Source organism: Homo sapiens, chromosome 6, assembly GCF_000001405.40.
Source record: "Homo sapiens chromosome 6, GRCh38.p14 Primary Assembly".
Classification (NCBI taxonomy): domain Eukaryota; kingdom Metazoa; phylum Chordata; class Mammalia; order Primates; family Hominidae; genus Homo; species Homo sapiens.
In genome coordinates, this window is record NC_000006.12 from 18,128,311 (window position 1) to 18,155,795 (window position 27,485).

At 42.3% G+C, this 27,485-nt stretch overlaps 2 protein-coding genes across 34 annotated transcripts in view, besides 2 other annotated features; one reads left to right on the plus strand and one right to left on the minus strand.

Moving 5' to 3' along the window:
* Positions 1-26,859, minus strand: TPMT (thiopurine S-methyltransferase). Of its 5 annotated transcripts, none has more exon segments than NM_001346817.1 (10): positions 1-2,470; positions 3,823-3,867; positions 5,494-5,579; positions 10,653-10,727; positions 11,355-11,407; positions 15,286-15,418; positions 19,513-19,605; positions 20,678-20,861; positions 21,965-22,343; positions 26,723-26,859. In NM_001346817.1, coding segments are annotated over 8 exon segments (738 nt in total). In that variant the 5' UTR covers positions 20,818-20,861; positions 21,965-22,343; positions 26,723-26,859; the 3' UTR covers positions 1-2,357.
* Positions 18,410-19,609: an enhancer, noted in NCBI's record as "P300/CBP strongly-dependent group 1 enhancer chr6:18146951-18148150 (GRCh37/hg19 assembly coordinates)". NCBI's record gives its function as "activates an origin of replication core promoter dependent on BRD2, BRD4, P300/CBP, MED14 and CDK7 cofactors, with strong dependence on P300/CBP, by STARR-seq in HCT116 cells {active_cell/tissue: HCT116}" and the evidence as "EXISTENCE:reporter gene assay evidence [ECO:0000049][PMID:35650434]".
* Positions 26,813-27,372: a silencer, noted in NCBI's record as "silent region_16969". NCBI's record gives its function as "represses an Ori minimal core promoter by ATAC-STARR-seq in GM12878 lymphoblastoid cells {active_cell/tissue: GM12878}" and the evidence as "EXISTENCE:reporter gene assay evidence [ECO:0000049][PMID:35858748]".
* The window catches only part of KDM1B (lysine demethylase 1B), a 68,433-nt gene continuing 68,059 nt past the window's right edge, over positions 27,112-27,485 (plus strand). For all 29 annotated transcript variants that reach the window (NM_001439117.1, NM_001439118.1, XM_017010445.3 and 26 more), the window contains exon 1: positions 27,112-27,261. The gene's annotated coding sequence lies outside the window, so the exon portion shown is untranslated. The remainder of the gene's footprint in view (positions 27,262-27,485) is intronic.

A 27,485-nucleotide genomic window follows, 5' to 3' on the forward strand; every position in this document is an offset into this window, starting at 1 on the left:
TTTTTGGAAAATCCTGAAAACAATTTAATTGCTCTAAAATAATTTACATGTGGTATATCTTCCATCTTGAGATTTTAGGAAGTCAGTATTCCCCAGTGAAGACACATATTACATAAATGATCAACTACCTAAGGATATCTCATTTGTATTTAAGATTCTTTGGGCACAACTGCAAGCGGAAAGGACTCTATCCCATGGACACAGGGTGTTTCTCCCCACCCTGGGCAGCTGGGCTTCAGGGAGGATGAAAATGGACCCAGGACGCAGGTGGCCTCTCTTTGGTTCTCATCTCTTTCTGCAGATCAGCGTTCTGTTTCTCAGATCCATGTGCTGGAATGTGGCTGCCCCACAGCTCCCAGGCGTACACAGATTCCCCTTTCAGCAGTCAACTTGCCTTTCTTTTTTTTCTTTTCTTTTTCTTTCTTTTGAGACAGAGTCTTGCTCTGTTGCCCAGGCTTGCGTGCAGTGGCATGATCTCAGCTCACTGCAACCTCCGCCTCCTAGGTTCAAGTGATTCTCCTGCCTCAGCCTCCCAAGTAGCTGGGATTACAGGCACGTGCCACCACGCCTGGCTAATTTTTTTGTATTTTTAGTAGAGACGGGGTTGCTTTTCTATTCCCAAGTCCAAAAGCCTATGAAGAGGGCCAGCGCAATGGCTCATACCTGTAATCCTAGCACTTTGGGTGGCCAAGACAGGAGGACTGCTTGAGGCCTCACGTCAAGTTCAACATCAGCGTGGGCAACAAAGTGAGACCCTGTCTCTACATAAAAGTAAAATCAAAAGTCTCTGGAGAGAATTGTGTTGGTCCAGCTCGGGTTAGTTGTCCATTCAACCGGTGATACAGGCAGAGTTGGGGAGTCATGGCTTCTGAAGCCCACAGTATCGACTGGGAGCAGGTCTCAGAGAAGCAAGAATCACTGTGAGCAAGGAGTTGCTTCAAATTAATAGCCTTACAAATCTATTAGAATACATCGATGGCAGAGAGCTTCTAGGGTAGAAGTTTGTACATGCAGGCCAAGGGGAACTAGAGAGGCTGACAAGACATATCTCTGGGGAGAGTACCGTAGCTTTCACCAGTGTTAAAGGGGACCCCAAACCTTGCATTAACAACCTTTAAGCCAGCACATGTGCGTGCATGCGTGCACACACACACGTAACTCGTTTTTTATAATACACAACCATCCTATTAACATGAGCTAAACAATCTAAACCATTTAGTTGTTGGGTAGTACAGAGTTATAGAGGACTGTCTGATATAACAAAATGTGGTTAAAGAAGAACTGAGAAATCTAACCTTTCATAATAAACAGCCATGAATCCAGCTCTAAGTACATTATATTTTATAAGACCTGATGATTTAAACAGATTAAATTATAAAAAACAACAATTGCCAAACTCAGAGAAAACTTAAAGAAAAATTTATTCTTAGAATTTGGGAATGTTTGTTCCATATAGATTGTTTAATTAAAATGTATTTGTTTCTTGATTCTGTTACAGATTGTTTAATTAAAATTTGTTTCTTGATTCTGTTATATACATGGAGAAACCATGTGAAAAGGGATGCTAGGATCTGAGTAAAAGACAAGGGTTTATAGTAAAAACTAATCTTTTATATAACTTTTGGGACCACCTTGAACCCTACTGAAATGTTATAGTTCTTCAACAATTCTAAATTTCATAAAGAATGTCAGGCCAGGTGCAGTGGCTCACGCCTGTAATCCCAGCACTTTGGGAGGCCGAGGTGGGTAGATCACCTGAGGTCAGGAGCTCGAGATCAGCCTGACCAACATGGTGAAACCCTGTCTCTACTAAAAATACAAAAAATTAGCTGGGCGTGGTGGCGCACACCTGTAATCCCAGCTACTCAGGAGGCTGAGGCAGGAGAATCACCTGAACCTGGGAGGCAGAGGTTGCAGTGAGCTGAGATTGCACCATTGCACTCCAGGTTGGGCAACAAGAACGAAACTCCATCTCAAAAAAATAAAACAAAATAAATGCCAGTTTTTCTGTGTGTATTATATTTAATATGCATTGCATTTTGAAATATTTTTTTAATTGTACAGGTAACACATGCTGATTGGTAAAATATCTTGCAATCTGCAAGACACATAGGCATAATCTTTCACATCATAATCTCCTCTCCAAAGGAGCTACTTTAAAAGTTTAGTTACATCTTTTTCTTCTAAAACTTTTTTAGAAAAAGTAAATGGCTTTACTAAAAAGCCATTTTTAGTAAAGATCTATCATATGATTTATAAACAATTTTAAAAATTCATCCATTACATTTTCAGGCTTTAGCATAATTTTCAATTCCTCAAAAACATGTCAGTGTGATTTTATTTTATCTATGTCTCATTTACTTTTCTGTAAGTAGATATAACTTTTCAAAAAGACAGTCAATTCCCCAACTTTTATGTCGTTCTTCAAAAGCATCAACCTTCTCAAGACAACGTATATTGCATATTTTACCTGAAACAAGAAAGAGTAACATGTTAAAATACTATGAAGAATGACATCAGGGATTCTTTTAAAAATACTCAAAATTGGCTGGGTGCGGTGGCTCACACCTGTAATCCCAACACTTTGGGAGGCCGAGGCAGGTGGATCACTTGAGGTCAGGAGTTCATGACCAGCCTGGCCAAGATGGTGAAACTCTGTCTCTACTAAAAATACAAAATGAGCTGGGTATGGTGGCACATGCCTGTAATCCCAGCTACTTGGGAGGTTGAGGCAGGAGAATCGCTTGAACCCGGGAGATGGAGGTTGCAGTGAGCTGAGATTGCACCATCGCGCTCTAGCCTAGGCAACAAGAGCGAAACTCCATCTCAAAACAAACAAACAAAACCTTGAAATTATTTTAAAAACAGTGTACACTAAACATTTTTCTCTTCTTTTTAATCAAAACAGAGGAATGCTAAGGGCAAATTTCCTGAACTCTGAATTGTTATTATCACTTTTAACTCCCAAGAGTAAAAATAAATACACCACTGGGCATGGCGGCTCATGCCTCTAATCCCAGTACTTTGGGAGGCCAAGACAAGAGGATCACTTGAGCCCAGGAGTTCGAGACCAGCCTGGGCAATGTGGTTAAACCCCATCTCTACAAAAAAATAGAAAAATTAGCTAAGCATTGTGGTGCATGCCTCTGGTCCCAGAAACTTGGGAGGCTGAGGTGGGAGGATCACTTGTGCCCAGGGAGGTCGAGGCTGCAGTGAGCTGTGATTGCACTTCTGTACTCCAGCCTGGGTGACAGATCAAGATCCTATCTCAAAAATAAACAAATAAAAAAAAATATACCATCTCTCTAGAAAAGTTCAAATACCTTTAACATAGAGCATATAGCATATATACAGAGCATATTTACAGAGATTAGTTCCTTTTCTAAGATAAAACAACTTTCAATAAAATGGTCTTTATCTTTTAAATTTTATAGACATACTCTAGATACTAATATACTAATAGTTCACAATAGGTTTTTTTTTTTTAGATGGAGTCTCACTCTGTTACCCACGCTGGAGTGCAGTGGCACAATCTTGGCTCACTACACTCTCTGCCTCCCAGGTTCAAGCAATTCCCATGCCTCAGCCTCTCAAATAGTTGGGACTACAGGCACATGCCACCACACTGGCCTAATTTTTGTATTTTTGTAGAGACAGGGTTTCGCCATGTTGGCCAGGCTGGTCTCGAACTCCTGGCCTCAGGTGATCTGCCCACCTTGGCCTCCCAAAGTGCTGGAAATACAGGCATGAGCCAGCACGCCAGGCCCAAAAGAGTTAACTTGACTTTGTTTAAAAAGTTACAGCATAAGTCCACAAACTTACCAAACAACCTTTCAATTTCAGCATGTGGAACATAAAATGGTGGACCTAGGTAAAAGAGAAATAAATTCTGAGTTTATTTCCAATGACGTAGGTGTACTTGTTCTACATACAACTTCATTATCCAAATAGGTGATGATGTGGCATGTTCTTCTCATTCTTCTTTTGCAAATCTCATACTAAAGAAATAAATTGACTTACTGAGAGGATGGCAATGTTACATCCCCATCATATCCATCTTTAGCTTAGATGAGACAGCTAAACCGGTCAAGGGACTTAGGCTCATTGAAATCAGAGTGGATTCCATCAGCAGATTCCTTGGGGGTTTCAACCATCTTCTAGCATACTGATTTTCTACCAACTCCTGCACTCACCCACATTTTATACACCCCTCCCGCTCTGCTGCAGGATATAGAGTATAAGGAAGCTGAGCTTCCGCCCCCTTCTAAGAGCAGTATCCTCAGACTCCACCTCCAGACAGGGCCTGCTGTATTTTCTTCCCAAAGGTTCTTTGTTAGGGCTTCTGTTCATTAATGGAATTTAAATCAGATTAGCAGAGCTAACTTCTGCCTCTATTAATTTCTATTTCCATTTGATTGTCTCTGATTTAATTAGGGACACTAGGTCTCATCTTTTAATGAGTTTTTAAGACCCCAATTTATTCAAGCAGAAACAAAATACTAGCTGGGAACGGTGGCTCACGCCTGTAATCCCAGCACTTTGGGAGGCTGAGGAGGGCGGATCACCTGAGGTCAGGAGTTCCAGACCAGCTTGGCCAACATGGTGAAATCCTGTCTCTACTAAAAATACAGAAATTAGCTGGGTGTGATGGCATACACTGTAATCCCAGCTACTTGGGAGGCTGAGGCAGGAGAATCACTTGAACCCGGAAGGCGGACGTTGCAGTGAGCCGAGATGAAACCACTGCACTCCAGCCTGGGCCACAGAGTGAGACTGTGTCTCAAAAACAAAACAAAACAAAAAAACCAAAATACTAACATATGTAAATATTTACAAAACAAGCATGTTAAAAAGCTCAGTTGAAAATCAAAAAGGTGACTCTTACAAATTAAAAGTCTATGTATTTCTCCAGCCATGACAAAGGTTAAGTTTCAATGTTTGAATGCATTAAAATGAGTCCAGGAGAAAACATACCCCCAACAGATTCAAAACAAATAAAAGAATGCAATAGATAGATTATAAAACTTCAGAAATTAAAAAAGGACAATAATTTAGAGTTTTTCCTGCACAACTTCTGCATCCCCATATTCACTTCTCACCCCGTGCTTGTGTATGTGAAGGCATCTGTCCAACACATCACTACCACTTGGGTGATACGGATATGCAATATCCAACCACATTCCTCCTTCTTCCCAATAGGACTCATGAGATTTCTCTTCTGTATCAGGATCATCCATTTCCCCGCTCTTCTCTAGTCTGAATTGTGAATGGTAAACAAAATGGGAAAGGAATACAAGAAAATCATGTACAATATAGAAGAGAAAAACATGCTTATAGTTCCCATTAGTCAAAACTGGAATTATCTCCATGTATATATGCAGTATGCTTCCTATGAGATAAATTAGGAGAAAATAATTCTTATCCATGTCATAGAATTTATATCAAGAAACTAGGCAACTGGTAAAAGAAAAAAAAAAAACCCAACAACTTTACCTGGATGTTTAGTTGGATCATAAGAAAGAACACACAGGAGATACTGAAACTTCTTTCCCAGGAGGGAAAACATTGTATCTGCATAGCTACAAAGAACACAAGAAGGTATTTGTTACATTTCTCTACACAGGCAAAGGCTGGAGGGACAAAAGGCAGGGAAGGAAGCCAGAAGTTACTTTCGCTGATACTACTGAGTTTAAATTCTCCTAATAATCACAAGAGGTTGATTCTCATTTTAAAAGTGAGAAATGGGTTTAGCAAATTATGGCCCCTGCCTAAGCTGGGAATTGGTCCAGATGGGAATCAAATCGAGGCCTGCTTCCAGAGCTGATCAGAGCAGAAGACATTACATAAGGATGGGTAGAGACTCCTTCTGGCCTGATGAGGTACTCGAGGGCCTGCTGACCTTGGATGCCTGTGTGCTTGAGGACAGTGGTTTCTAGACCAGGCTGGGTGTCAAAATCACTGGGGTGCTTGTTGAAAGAAAAGATGCCTGAGCTCCATCCCCACAGACCGATGCAGTTAGTTTGCCATGGGGCCTGGGATGCTGCAATTTAACAAATATCCTGGGTGACTGGGACCCCTCCAGGGGCCTTATGTAAGAGAAAACACAATTTTTTTCCTCTATTTAGTTAGAAATGAGAGTAACAAGCAGGCCAAAAAAAGGTGGCATGAAATTAAAGCTCTGCAAGTGTGGCATAAACCATGAGTGCAATGGAACTGTCCTTTGAGTAGGTGCCTCAGGGAGCCAGGTCTGATTGGCTCAGAGTGGGAAGCTGATGCTAACAGGACCCATCAATAGACTGAGCAGAAGCCAGGGCTGGACCAGGTACAGACGATGAGTTGACCAATCAGATGACTGACTTGGAAACTGAATTAAGAGACCAAAGAGGAATTGCTAATTAGCTGTGGTCCTACTGAAAGTTGGAGCTTTTGTATTGTATGGTGGTTGGAGCAAGGAGGCTGACCGTTGAAGGCAAGTCAGCTATGTGGGAATAAAAATGGAGGAAGCTGAGGGATAAGGAGAGGACAGGAGACGCATGCAGGGTGGTAGAGAGGCCATGAGAGACAGGCCAAGGACAAAGATGGACACCCTTCCCCACACTGAGGAAGGAGCCTGGGCTCTTGGCACTCCAGTTTCTATGGAGCCTGGCTAGACTGTGATCTATGTCCAGAGGTCTGCCAGAAGTTGGGGAGGCAAGTGCAGACTCTATGAGATGCCCAGGCTCAAACCCCAGCTCCTCTACTGACTGGCTATGTAAGCTTGACAAATTCTTAACCTTTCTGTACCTCAGTTTCCTCACCTGTAACATGAGGATAAGACTAATAACCACCTCACAAACTGTGAGAATTCACCAGTGGATCACTCTTCCTTGTAGGTGAAAGAACCACATCAAAGCAAACTTTTGAACAGAAACTGTTACTTTCTGATTCTCATTTTTCAGAAGAAACTTGCTGTCCCCATGAGGGGGATGTCAGACTGGTTTGGTAGGGTTTCCTAGGACTGAAAGACTTCATTCCTCTTAGAATGTGAAGTTTTTCTCTCTCAACCAGTCTCAAAAAGTCCAGAAAAATGAGGTCTGCCCTACTGGTTTACATTAGGCAAGAACTCGAGAGTCACAGCAGAAAATACATCAGTACTTGACAATGTACAATCTAAGGAGAAGACACCCAGTCCTAACGAAAGCACCAATATAATGTGCTAACATGGTAAGTACTGAGTACCAGCATGTAGATAAAGAACTAAGATACTAAGTACCAGCACATATATAAAATACTAACATAAGGCTGGGCACGGTGACTTACATCTGTAATCCCAGCACTTTGGGAGGCCGAGGTGGGCAGATCACCTGAGGTCGGGAGTTCGAGACCAGCCTGACCAACATGGAGAAACCCCGTCTCTAGTAAAAATACAAAATTAGCTGGGTGTGGTGGCGCTACTGTAATCCCAGCTACTCTGGAGGCTGAGGCAGGAGAATCACTTGAACCCAGAAGGCAGGGGTTGCAGTGAGCCGAGATCATGCCATTGCACTCCAGCCTGGGCAACAAGAGTGGAACTCCATCTCAAAAAAAAACCCTAAGATACTACCAGTACATAGTAAACTAATATCGCCCTTGCTCAGAGTGCAGTTCACTTCTTCCATTCATTTATTTAAACAACATTTATTAAGCTCTTACTAGGTGCTAAATATATATTATATCAGACACTGGGGAAATAACTGACCTCAGGTGATCTGCCCACCTCAGCCTCCCAAAGTGCTGGGTCCGCTCTTGGTCTGCACGTGGTGACTTTTAGTTTGCTTCCCACTGCTTGGTGGATTTTACCATGCCAACCAGAGCCTGTAGAAGGACTAACCTCTAAGGAATGGATGATCATCTTCAGGGAGTGGGAAACACCTACAAATTTAGACATTAGCAGATGGGGTTTCATATACAAATGTGTCTCACGGAGACAGAGGTCTCGGTGATATTTTGAGTTGTTAAAGGACACTGATGTCACATGGGAAGTGCAAAGCAGACACTGGACATGTGATGTGGATGTTTGGGAGAAAGAACAGAGCTGGAAATGTAAAGACTGTCAGAGCGAATACCATGTATAATCTGTTCAGTTACTTGCCCCGCCTCTGGCATACTATCTATTTGGAACATCACAGGAACTTAGTAAATATTTGTTGAATAGCTGAATGAAAGTAACAGAATTGATCTTTAAAGATTTGATTTTTCAGCCAGGCGTGGTGGCTTACACCTCTAATCCCAGCACCGGGTGGCCGAGGCGGGTGGATCAGCTGGGGTCCGGAGTTCGAGACCAGCCTGACCAACATGGAGAAACCCCGTCTCTACTAAAAATACAAAAAAATTAGCCGGGTGTGGTGGAGCATGCCTATAATCCCAGCTACCTGGGAGGCTGAGGCAGGAGATTCGCTTGAACCTGGCAGGCAGAGGTTGCGGTGAGCCGAGATAGTGCCATTGCACTCCAGCCTGGGCAACAAGAGCGAAACTCTGTCTCGAAAAAAAAGATTTGATTTTTCTCTCATAAAATTTTTTTTTCTTTCTGGTAGGACAAATATTGGCAATTTTTGGGTGAGAGCATAAGGCTGAGGATGGTGGTCCCTTGGGGAATCACGACTTTTAGGCATGCAAGGAGGATGGGAGTTCTGGAAAAGAGATAAAGGAGGAGCAGTGAGAAAAAGAGGGAAACAGGAGCATGAAAATTAAGATGCGGCATGGTCTAATTTAAAAAGATTAGGTTTGGCAGTAAGCCTTACTGATGAAACAATTTTTAAAAATAAAAATCTTATTTCACTGATGTGGAGCCTAACCTGTTTTTTTTTTGGTTGTTTGTTTGTTTTTTTAGATGAAATCTCACTCCGTTGCCCAGGCTGGAGTGCCGTGGCACAATCTCGGCTCACTGCAACCTCCACCTGCCGGGTTCAAGCAATTCTCCTGCCTCAGCCTCCCAAGTAGCTGGGGCTACAGGTGTGCGCCACCAAGCCCAGCTAATTTTTGTATTTTTATAGAGATAGGGTTTCACTGTGTTGGCCAGGCTGGTCTCGAACTCCTGACCTCATGATCCACCCACTTCAGCCTCCTAAAGTGCTGGGATTACAGGCGTGAGCCACTGCGCCCAGCCTCCTTTTTGGCCAAGTGATGAGTCTGCTCCATACAACTAAGTAATTCAATATTTCCATGCTATATCCAAGTAAGCACATAAATGACATTATTTTAATTGAAAGAGTATACAGATGTGGTCACATTTTACTCAGTATGCTTCCTCACTCATATTTTAATTTTATTTTCTAACAAGACTCGGTATAATAAGAATGGTCATCAAAAACATCAATAACAATGCTTCAATAATAACAGCTCTCATTTATACAGTTCTTTAGAGATGACAAGGTATTTCCTACATATTTCATTTCTTTCAATTCCCACAAAAATCCTTTGAGGTAGTCTAACAAAGGGATCATGAGTGTGGACTTTATTTTATTTCATTTTTTTGAAATGGAGGGTCGCTCTTGTCGTCCAGGCTGGAGTGCAATGGCGCCATCTTGGCTCACTGCAACCTCTGCCTCCTGGGTTCAAGTGATTCTCCTGCCACAGCCTCCTGAGTAGCTGGGATTACAGGCCACCACATTGGGCTGATTTTTGTATTTTTAGTAGAGATGGGGTTTCACCATGTTGGCCAGGCTGGTCTCGAACTCCTGACCTCAGGCGATCCGCCCACCTTGGCCTCCCAAAGTGCTAGGATTACAGGCGTGAGCCACCACACCCGGCCACAAGTATGGACTTCAAAGCCAAACACTCTGGTTTTGAATCTCAACTCTGTCACATACCAGCTGCTTAACTTTGGACAAGTAACTTAATCTCTTTGACCTCAGTTTCCTCATCTGTATAATGGAATAGTAGCTTATACCTTACAGAATTAAATGTTAAACCACATGAAATATTTTGATTTTTTTGTTTTTTTTTTTTTTTAAATATTTTACAGACAAGGTCTTGCTCTGTCATTCAGGTTGAAGTGCAGTGGTACGATCATAGCTCACTGCAGCTTTGAACTTCTGGGCTCACCCTCCTGCCTCAGCCTCCCAAGTAGCTGGGACTACAAGCACATACCACCACGGTCGGATAATTTTAAAAATATTTTGTAGAGGTGGCGTCTTGCTTTGTTGCCCAGACTGGTCTCAAACTCCTGGGCTCAAGTAATCCTCCTGCTTTGGCCTCCCACAGTGCTGGGATTACATGTATGATCCACCATACCCAGCCCACATAAAGTATTTTGAACAATACCTGGAATAGGCAAGTGACCAGTAAGTATTACCTGGTAATATTAGTGGAGGTGGTGATGATTGTGTTAGTATTACAGAAATATTCCCATTTTGCAGGAGTAAACCAAAGCTTAGAGAAGTTGAATACTTGGACCAAGGCCACACAGCTTGAAAGTGATTGAGCCACAAGCCTTATAGCCTTACACCCAGGTCTCTGTAGTCAAATCCTATACTTTTTAGACAAAGCTAGTATTGGATTTAGGTTTTTATAAATTCCAAACATAATAACCTATTTCAAACTCATAGAAGTCTAAGCTGATTTTCTAGAACCCAGAAAAAGTATAGTATACTAAAAAATTAAGACAGCTAAACAAAAAAAGAAAAATTACTTACCATTTGCGATCACCTGGATTGATGGCAACTAATGCTCCTCTATCCCAAATCATGTCAAATTTGCCAATATTTGTCCTACCAGAAAGAGAAAAAACATTTTATGGGAGAAAAATCAAATCTTTAAGAAGATGAGCAGCGTCCCCCATGGTGCATGCTGGTACTTCAACAATCGTCAAGGTATTAGGATCTCACGTCTGCGTTTCCTCCTAGAGGAATGTGTGGACCTGGGTGTGGAGAGCTGTCCATCCCCTCATGGTTTTAGGAGCCTGTGGCAGCAGCCTCCCCACTCTGTTATGATTTGGGGACATGAAGAAGGAACAAAGGACAGTGTGCAACAACTCTGCCCCCAGCCTCTGGCTCAGGTATCAGGGACTTTCAGGAGATGAGCTCTTATCTCCCTTGGCTACTTGAAATTCATTTCTATTACAGGCCCAGGTGCAAGGTAGAAGACACTGTCTTACTCACCTTTCTTTTTCCCTAGCTGCCTCAGTTTCCCATAGTTTGGGAGCTAACCAAAGACAAAACACATTAAAGTGTGCAGACGAGTGTGTAATAAAAATATCTGCAGAACAGACATTCAAAAAAATGCTTTGTGGATGTTACACAGGAGGAAGAGAGTGAGGAAGACACCTCCACTCCCATGCCTGCACTGCCTGGCAAGCATTCAAATTTTTTAAAGTGCAGATGTAGTATTCAACCTACCTGGGAAGATCAAAAATACTGCAACAGTACAATGAAATGTTCCCCGAAGAACTCTGTAATGAAATAATGAAAAAAAAATTTTTTTTTTTTACTTAGTAAGTACTTGAATAGTCAAGGAAAGAGGGCCAAGCAAAGCAAAAGTTCTAGGGAAAGAATGTGTTAATTAAACATAATTAAAGTAAATAATTTTACTGCACTTTATTGGCACCTTATTTTTTTCTTTTAAAACCTGTGCGAGGTTCTTTTGGGCCAACTCAGAGGAATATCACAGAGGACAACTTTGAAGATCAGTTGGCTGTTACTCACTTCAGAGCTTGCTATAAAATTCTAACAATGTTTCCTCGAGCAGAGTGATATTTTTACTCTGCTAAAGATAAATCTGCAGGTCAACCAATTATCAGGCAGGGTGGTACTGAAAAGTCAGGTATTTTAAGTTATTCCAGAAATGTGCAATTGTGCTGATTCTTCCATTTTTGCTCATTCATTCAGCCAATGAGCATTTATTTGCTGAGTACCTAATAGACAAGACATCTATCCTGGGTTCTTGACAGTAGATTTGAATTCGACACAGTCTCTGACCACAGTGAGGACAGACTAGAGCAGAGAAGCGTGGGCACAGAGAACATTACAATCCAGAATGGCCTGCTCTGTTGTGGTTCTGTGCCTGCGAACTATGTGAACACAGAAGGCAGAGCAGGGGCCTGCCTGGGAGCATCAGGGAGACTAAACAAAAGGTGACTTTTGGCCAGGTGTGGCAGCTTACACCTGTAATTCCAGCACTTTGGGAGGCTGAAGCAGGCAGATCGCTTGAGCCCAGGAGTATGAGACCAGCCTGGGCAACATGGCAAAACTCCAACTCTACAGAAAAAATTAGATGGGTGTGGTGGCACACACCTGTAGTTCCAGCTACCTGGGAGGCTGACATGCGAGGGTCACTTGAGCCTGGGAGGTCAAGGCTGCAGTGAGCTGTGATTGTGCCACTGCCCTCCAGCCTGTGTGAGAGTAAGACCCTGTCTCAAAAACAAACACTTGGAGCAAAATAATCCTAAAAAATAAACAACAACAACAAAAATCAAGAGAATAAAACAAAAAAAGAGGTGACTTTTGAAAGGGTGACACTCTAGGGTGTGGACTGGGGGCACACTCCAAGAGGGGGCAATATAACATAGACTTTAGGATCCTGGGAGCTGGGGTGAAGGGCAGTGTAGGAAAGGTGTGTCAGCACACAAGACTGCTAGATTTTATTCTGAAATGAGGTCCCCACACAGGTTTACAAGTAGAGGAGGAAGGGTCTTTGACAACCAGCCTGGGATCACTGGGTCAGCCCAGAGATGGGTGGGCCTGGAGGCAGGAGAACAGCTGGATCTCAACTTTGCCTGCAGATTGGAATCAAGGGGAGCTTTAAACAGTACTGATGCCAGGGCCCTACCCCTATAGATTCTGATATAATTGGCCTGGGGTAAGACCTTTGGATTGGGAATTTTTATAAGATCCAGAGATGATTTCAAATGTGCAGCCTGGGCGGGGAACTGCTGCTCCAAGAGGGGCCTGGAAGCAGGACTAGCCCTTTTTGGACTGAGTAAACTCCTTGGATTCTTTAATGCTTTGAGAATGAGGTGGGAGGAAGATGTGAAATAAAAAATACCATCAAGCTTCCTACTGATCTGAGCAACAATTTTTTTTTTTTTTTTTTGAGACAGAGTCTTACTCTCTTGCCCAGGCTGGAGTGCAGTGGTGCGATCTTGGCTCGCTGCAACCTCCACCTCCCAGGTTCAAGCGATTCTCCTGCCTCAGCCTCCAGAGTAGCTAGGATTATAGGTATGCACCACCACAGCCAGCTAATTTTTGCATTTTTAGTAGAGATGGGGTTTCGCCATGTTGGCCATGCTGGTCCTGAACTCCTGACCTCAAGTGATCCACCCACCTTGGCCACCCAAAGTGCTGGGATTACAGGCATGAGCCACCATGCCCAGCTGAGCAATTAATTTCAATATTTAGAAAAGAGTACTTTGTGAGACACTGAATATACAGATGGACAATAGATCCTATATGACAATACAACTCTGACCCCACAACTGATTCAGGAGTTAAGAAGAAATTACTAAGGCAGATAGGGAGGATACGGAAGGTTTTCCTCTTAATGAAAAGCAGCCTCAAATCATTTTTCCTTTCTAACAAAGAGCAGCCTATAAAATCGAGCTGCAGACATAGATGCCGGCAGTTTGTGCCAATCATGTTCAAAATGGTGGCTCTATCTTCCCTTCTCTGTCAGCCACCTGTAGAGTAAGAAGCAGACAACATGGTGCCAGCGAAGGGAAGAGTTCATTTGCATAATAAGATTAGGGTGGGGCGACCAGCCTTCCCAGCACGTTATGTAAACATCACACTTGATCAAACCAATCTGTGAGCCCTATGTAAATCAGACACTGACTCCTCAGGCTGCACTATAAAATCCGGCGCTTCTACACCTGGCAGGTTTTTTCCTCTCGGAAGTCCCCTCTCTCTCACTAAAGAGAGAGCTGTTTTATTTTCTCTTTCTCTTTTTTTTTTGCCTATTAAACCTCCACTCCTGAACTCCTCATGTGTGTCTCTGTCCTAAATTTTCCTGGCACAAGACGACGAACCTGGGGAATTTACCCCAGACAAGGTAGCCACTTCACAACCTCTGCAGTGACTTGGTCAATGACTGCCAGCTTCCCTGATTTTTACTACCACACTTCTTCCAATTTAGGATCAGCCAGAGAAAGGCAAACATGCTCCCCAAACCAATCACATAGGATGCCCCGTTCCTAGTTGCCCACCTCCAGCTTCCCTGTGCCAACAGCCTCGCAACAGCACATGCCGGGAGCTTTTACTTTTGTCCACTTTTAAGCTTCCCCACTCCTCTGCCTGCCTTTGAGTCTCTGCCAGATTCTCTCTGCTTGTTCCCACTTGGGTAGTGTTTGTTTATTTACACTGGCTCATTCTGCTCACAGCATAAAGACCACTCCCAAACCTATCATTTTGAGCCCAAACCTCACTCCATGCTTCAGACATAAAACCTTCACCACTCCACAGGTCCCTTAAACTCATCATCTCTAGAAAAAGATTCATTCTTTCTGCCCTTCTCATTTATTCTTGACCATCCAGCCAGTCATCTGAGCCAGAAATGTGAACTCATCGCTCCTTTGGTCCTCATTCGGTCACAGAATCCTGCGGGTCTATCGTAAATGTTGCTTTAATCCATCCTAACCACTCTCTATGCCCCATCACTCTCCTTGCTCAGGGATTCATGATGTCTTTCCTGGACCACTGCCATAGCCTCCTGTCTCTCTGCCAGGAGGCTACTTCCCTTCAAATCACTTCCTATGAGGCCTCATGGGTGATTTAAGTAGTATCTTCCCGAGGTGTCCAAGACCATGGACCCAGGCCCTGCCTGATTCCAGCTCTATCTGTCACCATGCTTCAGGAAGCACCGCCAGGTTGGGCAGGTAACTCCCATCTCTTCCCTTAATACCCTGTGTCTTTACACTTAGCTCCATGCATTACAAATAGCTTTGTCCCTGTTTCTCTTCTCTCCTAAACTAAGAGATTCTTTAGGGGTGGGAGTGAGGGGGGTGTGCTGTGTTATCTTTATCTCTTCAATGTCTTAGGCAGGGTCTGGCACATGATGGGTTCTCAGAAAATGCGTGTTAATAAAAATAAAACAAGCCTAAAAGCTTGAGTACAGAGAGGCTTTGACCTCAGCTTTTATATACATATGTCTATACCTATTTAGGTAGCTATCACCTATATTTTTAAGCCCTTGCTTCTTATACTATATAGTATCTACAGTGAATCTGCGTGCTAAATAGGAACCATCGGACACATGAATGGTATCCTCATAATACTCACACTGAGAAAAACTTTTGTGGGGATATGGATACAATTATTTACCCAAATCAAAACAAACCTTAAATACTTTGGTTCCAGGAATTTCGGTGATTGGTTCTTCTGAGTAAGAAAGATTCTGCTCTGTAAAAAATTCTTGTATCCCAAGTTCACTGATTTCCACACCAACTACACTGTGTCCCCGGTCTGCAAACCTGCATAAAATCATACATTTACACTTAAATTATGTTTTCAAATGACTAAATAGAGGGTTATATTAGAGTAAGCATATATTTTCTTTAATTTAGAGGAATTTATATGAATTCAGGTTCATAGGGTTTCAAAGAACATGCAGGAAAGCAGATCTATATTATTTTCAAACCTTATAAAAATTCTGAAAAACTGACTTATATGAATTCAGGAAACAATAAAAATTTGGAAAATTATATATATCTTTTTTTATGTATGAAACAGTTGGAATGTAATTATAGATATATAACAAAATACTGATTTAATACAAATTGATTTGACTAGAGGAAATGCTTTTCAATTTCTCTAAATCAGCACTGCCCATTAAAATTTTCTGCATTGATGAAAATGTCTATATCTGTCGCTGTCCAATAAAATAGGCATTAGCCACATTGGTTCCTCGTGATTGAGGAACTGAATTTTACATTTTATTTAGTTTACATTTAAATAGCCACATGTGGCTAGTAGCTACTGTACTAAAGTGAACAGGTCTAGAACATTAGCACTCATTTGTATACTAATCTTGTAGTTTCCATTTGCTTAAAATAAACACTATCCAAAAATTTGTATATTTTATCATATACAAATAGCATTGTCCTGGTAATTTTATTTATTTATTTATTTATTTTTGAGACGGAGTCTCACTTTGTTGCCCAGGCTGGATGGAGTGCAATGGCACAATCTCGGCTCACTGCAATCTCCACCTCCTGGGTTCAAGCGATTCTCCTGTCTCAGCTTCCTGAGTAGCTGGGATTACAGGTGCCTGTCACCATGCCTGGCTAATTTTTGTATTTTTAGTAGAGACGGGGTTTCACCATGTTGGCCAGGCTGGTCTCGAGCTCCCGAACTCAGGTGATCCACCTGCCTCAGCCTCCCAAAGTGCTGGGATTACAGGCGTGAGCCACCACACCCGGGCTTTTCCTGGTAATTTTGAGGAAAAGAGGAAAATTTTTTCCTCAAAAAAAATTTTTTTTTTGAGACAGAATCTCACTCTGTCAGCCAGGCTGGAGTACAGTGGCACAATCTCAGCTCACTGCAACCTCCACCTCCCGAGTTCAACCAATTCTCCTGCCTCAGCCTCCAGAGTAGCTGGGATTACAGGTGTGCCCCACCATACCCGGCTAATTTTTGTATTTTTAGTAGAGACGGGGTTTCACCGTGTTGGCCAGGCTGGTCTCGAACTCCTGACCTCAAATGATCTGCCTGCCTCAGCCTCCCAAAGTGCTGGGATTACAGTCCTGGTAAGTTTTATAATGAACAGAATTCAGTCTCAGGATCTTGGACTCAAGAGAAAACAGTACCAGTGGTACAAATATCTAGGCACAGTTATGATTTTATGTCAAGTGAAATAAAAACATAGTTCTGCTATAATGTAACAAGTGCCTTCCTAAAATCACTGCACTATGCTAAATCACGCACTAAAAATCCCCAGGCTGGTGGGGAAAGTGAGGGCACAGCATTTAAAAACTTGGTCAGTGCCACATTAAAAAACAAAAACAGGAACCTAATAATAACAGTTTTATACATGTTAAATGGTTGAGAAATAGATAAATACTACAATATGGCACTTTACGGTGAAAAAGACCTAATGCTCACTAAGGTAGCTGGGGGATGTTGGTGCATTCCATCTATTCATACCTGGTTTAGTTCAACTGGGTGCAGTTTTCTGCTTTTACCTAAGGCTTCTTATAGATGAAATCACACACAAGCAAATGTGAAATTTATTTCATGCTCAAATTTTTCCCTAATATATCAATTGAGTTAGAATTCAGTTTTGAAACAAGTATAGCAGGACTGACTGTACCTTTTATCTACAAAAGAGTACGTACTTTCAATGTGGGCAGAGCATGAACTGTTTAGTTGTAAAATGAAACATATAACTTGTCTTTCATCTTTCGTATTTCTTAGGATATCTGTAAACATACAGGGAGTTTAAAAATTCTCCCTACATTTTTTAAGTTATAAAATGTAAACAAAAACATTATTCAAATTGGCTGTATGTGTTTTTATTTCCCATTCAACAGATGGAAAAATGAAGCATAGCCTACTACAACCTGTAATAAAAACAAAATAAGACCAAGTGTGGTGGCTTATGCCTGTTATCCCAGCATGTTGGGAGGGAGGATCTCTTGAGCCCAGGAGTTCAAGGTTGCAGTGAGCTATGATCATGCCACTGCACTCCACCCTGGGTGACAGAGTGGGACTGTCTCAAAAAACCAAAAACCTAAACCTAAATATCTTAAACATTTTGTTTTAATGCTTTTTGGCCTTAGCTCATGGTCAGTTTTTCTATTCACATCTCATGTCTGTATAGACCTCAATACATAGATCAGTTACATAAATGAAAAATCATCTACTATCATAACTTCTTAACTTCTTACATGTAATTACAGTAGCTCAGTTCATATATATATATACATAAAAATAACTGTATTTACGTATATATACATATATATATATTTTTTGGAGACAGAGTCTCACTCTGTCACCTAGGCTGGAGTGCATGGGCTCATTGCAACCTCCGCCTCCTGGATTCAAGCAATTCTCCTGCTTCAGCTTCTCAGGTAGTTGGGATTACAAGCGTACGCTGCCATGCCTGGCTAATTTTTGTATTTTTAGTAGAGATGGGTTTTCACCATGTTGGCCAGGCTGGTCTCGAACTCCTGACCTCAAGTGATCCGCTCACCTAATTAAAGGTGTGAGCCACCGCACCTGGCCAGTTCTGATATTTTTTGTAATGTCTTTATTACAAATGGCTTTAGACCCCAAATATTCAACAATCACATTTAATTGGCTATTTCATACCATTTTCCTAATGTTGCCTCAGAACCTGTTTGTACTACATTGTTACCATTTATGGTGACATCACATGACAATCTGTTTATAGAGTTAATTTTTTTTGAGGGTAATTTTGAAAGTAACTATCTCTTCTGGCTCAATGAATTGGTTAAAATATATGTCATAATATAGTTTAAATATTCTCAATTTCATGACCACACTTGAATCTTAAAGTCATAGCAGCCCTCTAACAAAGGCTCTCAGCTACAGTTGATTGGTTGCTGGCTGCAAAAATTCTATCATCTCTACTTGAAAATCAACTCCCAAAAAATGCATGCATACTCTGCGTTAGTCACCGATATTTATATTCAGAATAGACCATTTTTTAGGTTATTATATTTTACATTTATTAATATTTTATTTTAAATTTATTTTTTGAGGCAGGGTCTATGTTGTCCAGACTGGTCTCAAATTCCTGGGCTCAAGAGATCCTTCTGTCTTGGCCTCCCAAAGTGCTGGGATTACAGGCGGAGGCCACCACACCTGGCGCATTTACTAACCTTTTCATACATTCTTTTTTCTTTCCTGCTCAGTGGTCAAAGTTCTCAACATTCAAGCTTATAAATAAATGCATATCTTGGCAGGTATGATTGTATCTGTATATTATCATTACAAGAGAGTTCAGTATAGAGAATGATGTCGAGGTGACTTTAGGGTAACTCATAGTAAAAGTGGCTTGTTAAAGTGAATTCTCTTTGTAGAGAATTACTCACAAGAAATACTTTCTTAATCACTGGTTTTATAACAATGATTCACGATAACAGAAACTCCTGTGTTCCCTGGTGGGAGGGGAAGGTTGAGCTGAACTGTGGACTATGAACATTGTCCTGCCAAAAAGCTGTAATTCATTTTGAATTTCTCTGTCCACCACCATTTCAAATATCTAAAAATTAACTTAGCTAAATTCCTAAACCACCTACAAAAACTGAACCACATACAAGGATCCAGGAAATGTAAAAGGGAAGGCTGTTTTTTCTCCCCCCATTGGCTCCAAACTGATTTTTTAATTTCAAAACTCAATCCAGAAAGACTTCATACCTGTTTCTGTTGTTTCTTACTGTTTGAGAATATTATTTCCAATTATATACCCATCACTAATAGAAAAATAAGGAATTTCTGTGTATTTCCTGAAAATGGAGTTTTAAAACTCACATCCTGTTAAATCACCCAAAGAATTCATCATTAAGGCAAGATAATTCTGTTAATGTTTATCTGCTCATACCATTTCATCTCAACCGCTTTTCCGCAAAGAGGAAAAAATACCCTCAGTCCACTCTTGCCTTTAAGGAAAGTATCTAAATGCTTCTTTAATAGCCTGAAGAGGAAAAAAAAAAAGGTTTTAGGACAATTGTATGGTAGGTGAACACTTTTCATTCATTATCTCACTTAATATTCCCAACAACCTTAATAAGCAGTTACTATTAATTATTATAATCTCCAGCTTACATATGAAGAAACAGGTAACTTGCTCAGACACACACCCAGTCAGTGGTAAATCTGACTTACACCCAGGGCTTTCCTGATTAGTAATTAAAAATAATTTTTTTTTCTTGGGGATGTTTTGAAAATTCTTTATTAATTCTCTAAATATGTACTATTTTGGGGGTGATGGAGCCTCTGGAGCCATGGATTTTTCAACATTAATTTCATGGTACGTTCTCTAAACGTGTACTCAAGCCTCGGAAGTAAACCTGAGAAGTGTAACTCCTGTAGTTTCTTGTAATTCCCTCTGTGGAGATGTGGCTCTTCTAAGGCCATCCACATGACAGAAATAACCCAGTGTTTCTGGTATGATGATGATGATGATGATGATGTCATCTCCTGGGGAGATGGGCGTGGCTGCCCAGAACAAGGAATGTCTCTAACAACCACTTTACTCAGCACTGGTCCCATGATTTATTGCTGCTATGAAGACTACTACTACATTGCACAACATCCTAACTCACTTTATAATTTCTCGCAACTTCTTTTCTCCCACCATAGAGATAATTCTTTAACATCTGAACACATCCTATTGGAAAGCAAAGTCAGACACCACTGATTTTCAGTATGAAGAATTGTAAGCATAAACATTGCTTGAGCACCTGTTGTAGGTATAAATATTCAGGGCCAATACATAGGTGCCGTAGGGATCAAAGAACATATTTTATAAATCTAAGATGTCATCATTTGTAAGCCACACCATTATTTACACACTGTGGGAAGAAAAGACTCTGCCAATTAAACTACATCATGCCACAGATGCACTGTGACTCGGGAGACACAAAAATGTGAAGAATTAAATGTGCATCCTAAAAGTTAGTCAAATAATGTGTACTTTTATTATTTCTATCTCAAAGTCACTTTTTGATAGAACATTTCTCTATTGTATACCAAATATTTCTTACTGATGTCCTTGTTCCTGATGAAAAGCAGTCTTGCCGTTCACCCACTTGTCTTGCCATTCTTCCAGAGTTAGTACTTGGTTTTTCTGTACCTCAGTATCCGAGTACTCTTCAATGTCAAGTGAAGTTCTTGTACCATCCATAGTTTCAGAGACACCTTTGTCTCACAAGCATATGTCTTCCGTGCCTACGTGGAAAATATTTGCAATGTTGTCATTTAAGGTCATTGGAATTCTATTGATGAACTAAATGAAAACCTATTATTCTTAGCAGTATGACTTTTTAAAAATATTTCTTTCTTTTTTTATTTCTGGTTTTATTTTTGAGATGGAGTCTCACTCTGTCTCCCAGCCTGGGGTACAGTAGTGTGATCTTGGCTCACTGCAACCTCTGCCTCCCAGGTTCAAGCAATTCTGCTGCCTCAGCCTCCCAAGTAGCTGGGACTGCAGGTGTGCACCATCATGCCCAGCTAATCTTTCTTTCCTTGTTTTTTTTTTTTTCAGAGACAAGGTCTTGCTCTGTCACCCAGGCTGGAGACCCTGGCTTACTGCAAGCTTCAACCTCCTGGGCTCAAGCGATCCTCCCATTTCAGCCTCCCAAGTAGCTGGGACTTCAGGTACACACCACCACACCTGGTTAATTTTTGTATATATATATTTTTTAATAGAGATGGTTCTCATTTTGTTGTCCAGACAACAAAGAACGCCTGGGCTCAAGGGATCCTTCTGTCTTGGCCTCGCAAAGCACTGGGATTACAAGTGTGAGTCACTGCACCTTGCCATTTCAACATCCAATAAGAAGTGATAACAAAAAATTACTTTCAGTGCGTCTGGTGGTAGAATAATACCCCTTAATACACATTACAAGAGATCATTAAATAAACTGAATTCTATCTTAATATTAGTGTTTCCTCTGCTCTCACACCCCAATCATCAACACACAAGATTTCTGTGACCAAATGTGGGGGTTCTTCCCCCAGCACACCAAATATTGGACACCAGTTGGGTATCTTCTGATTTAATTCTGACATTACCTACCTGGAGATAGTGTCAGATTCTATATGTTGGGGGCTCAGTCCCTAAGATTTCCCTCCTCACTTAGACACCAGTTGCAAGTCCAGGCCTCCACTGGCTTCAAGTTGGGGTTCCCACACCCTCCACTTTGGGTTTGCTTAATTTGCTAGAGCAACTCACAAACCTCAGAGAAATACTTAGTTATCTTTGCACATTTATTATAAAGGATACTGCGAAGAATATACTTGAAGAGATGTGTTAGCTACAGGACCTTCACCTGTTGAGCTATTAGGAGGCTCTCCAAACCCCATCCTCTTGGGTTTTTATGTAGGCTTCATCACGTAGGCATTATTGTACTTACTCCTAATTCAACTCTAAATTCTGCCAATTGTCCCAATTTCCTATCAGTACACAGTCAGTCTCTCCAGTCATCAGCTATACTATCAATATCATCTTGGAGAATTCTCTCCTGGAATCTGCCCTGATTATTCTCTAATCTTGGTAGACAGCTAGCTTTCTGGGATCGCTCTTCATCATCATTCTGGAGATTTCCTTCTTGTCTGAATCTCCAGCTTTATTTCATGTCTTCCTCTTTTTTTTGTTGTTATTTTTTAGTGACCACGCTTATATTGGTGAAGCCTAACCTCCAGAGCTTCCTGAAAGAGCACAAGGAAGAAAAAGAATGTTTTTCCATTTTGCATGTATAAAACACGGTTAGACTATTCCTCATCCTTGATGCATAGCTCTGCTGGGTATCAAATTCTTGGTTAGAAGTGTGGGGGCCATAGGGGGTTGGGCACCCTAAAGGTTTAGTGAAGAATCACGCCCACCTCAGCCTCCTGAGTAGCTGGGATTACAGGCATGCACTACCAGGTCCAGCTAATTTTTGTGTTTTTAATAGAGATGAGATTTGACCATGTTGGCCAGGCTGGTCTTGAACTCCTGGCCTCATGTGATTCACCAGCCTCGGCTTCCCAAAGTGCTGGGATTCCAGGCGTGGGCCACTGAGCCTGGCCATCCCTCTGCTTTTTTTATTTCTCCTTCTGGGACCCCTATTATTTGTCTCTAGAATCTTCTGACCCGGTATGGTAAATTTCTCATTTTTTTCTATTTTTCTATATCTTCATGTTTTTGTACTATTTTCTGAAAGATTTACCTTAATTCTCATTTTTTTAACTTCTTCTCTCTTTTTTTTTTTTTTTTTGCTATCAATCACCCAGTGCTTTGGGCGACCAAAGTGGGAGGATGGCTTGACGCCTGGAGTTTGAGACTAGCTTGGGCAACATAGTGAGACTCCATCTCTACAAAAGCAGTTTTAAAATTGGCCAGGCATGGTGGTGCATGCCTGTAATCTTAGCTACTCAGGAGGCTGAGGCAGGAGGATGGCTTGAGCCTAGGAGTTCGAGGCTGCAGTGAGCTATGATGGTGCCACTGCACTCCAGCCTGGGCTACAGATCAAGACCTTGTCTTAAGAAAAAAACAAAAAAAAGAATAGGTATAAAATGAATGAAGGCAAAGAATGTGGGTGGGGCTTATAATGTAGGGTGATGTGAGTGGATTTCATTTGGAAACCTAGATTTATTTATTTATTTATTTATTTATTTATTTATTTATTTATTTATTTGAGGCAGGGTCTCGCTCTGTCACCCAGGCTGTAGTGCAGTGGCACAATACAGCCTCAAACTTCTGGGCTCAAGTGATCCTCCCGCCTCAGCCTTTAAAGTATCTGGGACTGCAGCTGCACACCCTCATGCCTGGCTAATGTCTTTAATTTCCTTGTGGTAGTCAGACTTTCCATAGATGGATCTCCCAATTCCTGTCTTAAGGATTCTGTCGTTGGAGCCACTGTCATATACTCATATAAGAAAAGAAGAGAAGTGGGCGAGGGTCCCAGCATCCAGTTTGCTGTATTCAATTAATCCTCACGTTTCCTGTATACTCCCATGCTCAACTGTGTATCATATCTTCTCAGTCTAGACAGACACTCTTTGTTTTACCCTTTCCAGAGAATAAATCCCCAAAGCCTGCTGGTGTGGTGAGATGTACACACTTGGTTGCAAGAAGTTGAGAAAAGGATCTGGGGATTTGGCCTGTTCTGAACCAGCATTTCAAGCAATCCTCCTTGTTTCAACCATACTCTCACACTTTATGGAGGTACCTGGTGCTGCTAATCCTGAGCATTTGGGGATTCTGTATTGCAAACTGGGCTGCTCAATGGCTTTTCTCATTGCTGGTTTAGAATTCAGCTTCCTTGAAGTTGCAAAATCCTTTCCCACTTGTCCATTTGCCTTTCCAAAATTTTACTAATTTTGTCTCTCCTGTCCTGGCTATCCTAGTACTTTATGCCTTAAAAAAAAATTCTGTTATTTTCAGGAGACAGCAAAAACAGATTAAAGTAGATACTGAACCATAGTTCAATATCCTATCTCTACTCCACACATTTGTATTTTCAAATAATTTTCTACAGCTTCTTTTTTTGCATGGGAAATGCACACTAAGGAAACTGAAAAAAGACATGTACAATGTAAACTAACAATAAAATTCAAAGCCTCTCAACTGACTGAAGGCACACTTTCTTTCCTTTTCTTTCTTTCTTTTTTTTTTTTTTGAGATGGAGTTTCGCTCTTGTTGCCCAGGCTGGAGTGCAGTGGTGCGATCTTGGCTCACTACACACTTTCTTGGCTAACGGGACCCCAGAGTAACCTTGAAAACTGAGTTCTGGGCCAAGAGTAGATAGAGCGTCAGATACAACTCTATACCTCCTCTCTTGCTAACCACAATTAGGCTTTGTTCTATAAGGACTTAAGGGAAACCAGCCCTTTCAAAAGATTCTACCACTGATATCAACCAACCCCCTGATGCTGCCCCTCCTTTTGTGCCTGATAAGAGATCACAGACCACAGAATGGTTCTGGCCAGTCTACTGAGAATGCACAGTAAGGGTTTTTCTGTCCTCTGCTTCACCTTTTGATATAAGAGGGCCAAAAACTCCATCCTGTGATTGTGGTAACACCGCCATTTTTTGTGCATGGTACCCATGAAGCTCAATTACTCATGGGTACTTTCCTCCTTTCATAAATATTCATGAGTCATCCTACAGCTTACTGAATATGTATATTTGGCCACCTTCCTCAGCATAAATTCCTGTTCCCTTTGCCCCTCCCTGGAAGTGTCAGTTTCTGGCTTCTGGCCTGCGGCTACACTTCTCAGCCAGTCAGAATGGCTGCTCTACAGTCTGAAACCATTCATGAGAAAGAGTTCTCCTTTCTAAATTATGAACTTCTCATTCTTCAGCTGACAGACCATAACTGCAGATCCATCTGAATGTATGAGGAAAATGCCTTTCCTTTCAATGTCAACTCTGCAATATTAAGGACAATATAACACCATTATTCTAACATTCCCTTTAAATCATTAGTGAAACTAGTTTGGATTATACTAGCATGCTATTATTGGTGGTTCTAATTTAATGATTAATCTGTGAAATAGCAAACATTGCATAAAAGCATGTATTTCAGGCAAATTTCCCCTTTTGTTGCCAAATTTGGCCTCAGTATGCTTAGGATATAGGGAGGAGGCATTTCTCTCATTACCTGGGAACATGAATTCACTTCTTAGCAAATATTTGTTGACAAATGGCTTCTGCAAGACCCTGATGGTATCAGGAGGTGACTCTGAGTTTTCTGAGAGGTCAGTAGAAAGTATCTGATTTATATTGGGTACAGAAAAGCAAAAGAATGTTGCAGTTTTCTCATTTTCATTCAGAAACTCTGGAACCTAAATTCAAGGCTTCATAAAGCAGTTCTCTACTTAAAAGAGAAGCATAATCTTTATCAGAGTTCCACAGCAGCCTGGAGTAGCACAACTCTATTCCTTTCACACAAACTTGAACTGTCTAACAAAATCATGCACATAACTTAATCATGTCTTAGTTGTTTGTTTTTGAGACAGGGTCTCTCTCTATCCCCCAGGCTGGAGTGCAGTGGTGTAATGACACTTCCGTCTCCAACACTGGGGCTCAAGCGATCCTCTCACTTCAACCTCCTGAGTACCTGGGACTATAAGGGTGCACCACCATGCCTGGCTAATTTTTAAATATTTTGTAGAGACAGGGTCTTGCTATGTTACCCAGGCTGGTCTCAAACTCCTGGGCTCAACGTCTTAGCTGTTCTAACAGTTTCTCAGCATGGACTCCACTTGTATACATCATTTCTAGAGAAATAAAGTTTATTTCTATAATACAAAAAAAGTGCACATTACAAGAATTAAGGAAGGGAAATTTCACAAAAATTTCTGCCCACAAACAAAGTCCTCAAGTTGTTCTAGTCTCCATTCTCACCTTTTCAAAAGCTTCTGCTATAGTTTTGTTTTTAAATTTCATAAAATTGAGAAGAAACTTTCCTAAGGTGCACACATCTTAAAAGAGTATGACTCGGTGAATTTTTTACATATACATACACCTGTGTAACCACCGCAGAGCAAGACAGAATATTTACAGCACCCCAGTTTCCCACATCACCAGGGATCACTCACTATTTGGCAGTACTTATTTTTTCCCAAAAATCACTAATACACCAGGCTGGGGAAAAAACCGAGAGTCCGTTTCTATAAAAAAAAATTTGAAAAATTAGCCAAGCGTGGTGCAGCGAGCCTGTAGTCCCAGTTACCGAGGAGGCTGGGGCGGGAAGATCACTTGAGCCCAGGAGTTCCAGGTTACAGTGAGCTATGATTGTGCCACTGCACGCTAGCATGGGCGACAGAGGGAGACCCTGTCTCTAAAAGAAAAAAGAAAAAAAAATAATTAAAACACACCAGTGCTTTGGAAGCACTTTAAATCCTGGACATTGGATTCAGGTCATTTACTGTCCGACCTCGTTATTCCCAGTTTCCGCTTCTGCCCTGAACCCCACTTCACAGGGCTGATTGCTAGGCTGTCTACGCTTGTAAGAATTCCTGGGAGCCCTAGCACGGGCGCATACACTCCTAGCAAATCGTTCCCTTTCTCACCCGCACCCTCCGCGCCCGAGTGAGCCTACCTCGCTTACAGCTGGTTGCCGGCCATTGCCTCCGCCACCAATGACGTCCCCAGGGGCGGGTACGCCTCCGCTTCCACCTCCGCCACTTCTCCGCGCCCCGCCTCCGCCCGCGCCCCGCCTCCGCCCGCGCCCCGCCTCCGCCCGCGCCCCGCCTCTTTCCCGCGCCCCGCCTCTTTCCCGCGCCCCGCCTCAGTTCCCGCCCCCTCTCCCGGCGCCCCGTCTCCACTCCCGCCCCGTACCTCGTTGCACAGACTCCACCCACTTCCCCAAGCGCCGGGGTTTGCGCAGCGGCGGAAATGGGCAGGGCGGAGCGAGCGCTGCGGCTAAAGCGAAGGCGGGGACCCTACCCATCCCTAGTCCTGTCGGCTCCTCCCACCCCGGGTCACGCCGTGACAGGGGCGGAAGCGGCGGCGGCGGCGGCGGCCGAGAAGAGGCTGGGGCTCGCGGCGCGGCTGCAGCCGTCCTGTGCGCGCGGCGCGCGGCTCCGGAGAGGCGCCCGCAGTCCAGGGCGGCGCGCACCGCCTCGCTGGCGCTCAGAGGTGGGAGGCTCCCCACTCCGGGGGCGTGCGTGGGGGCCGTGGCGGATTTCGGGTGACAGCGTTGCACAAAGCAGCTTGGTTGGGGTGCAAGCCCTCCCTTTCCCCCTGTGCAGCGCCCCTCGCCGTGGTGGGAGGTGGGCGGGTGCCCCAGGGACGGATACCTCCTGCCCCGGATTAAAAGAGGGTGCGGGGTGGGTATCTGTCTGAAGAAGGGGGAATTCCCG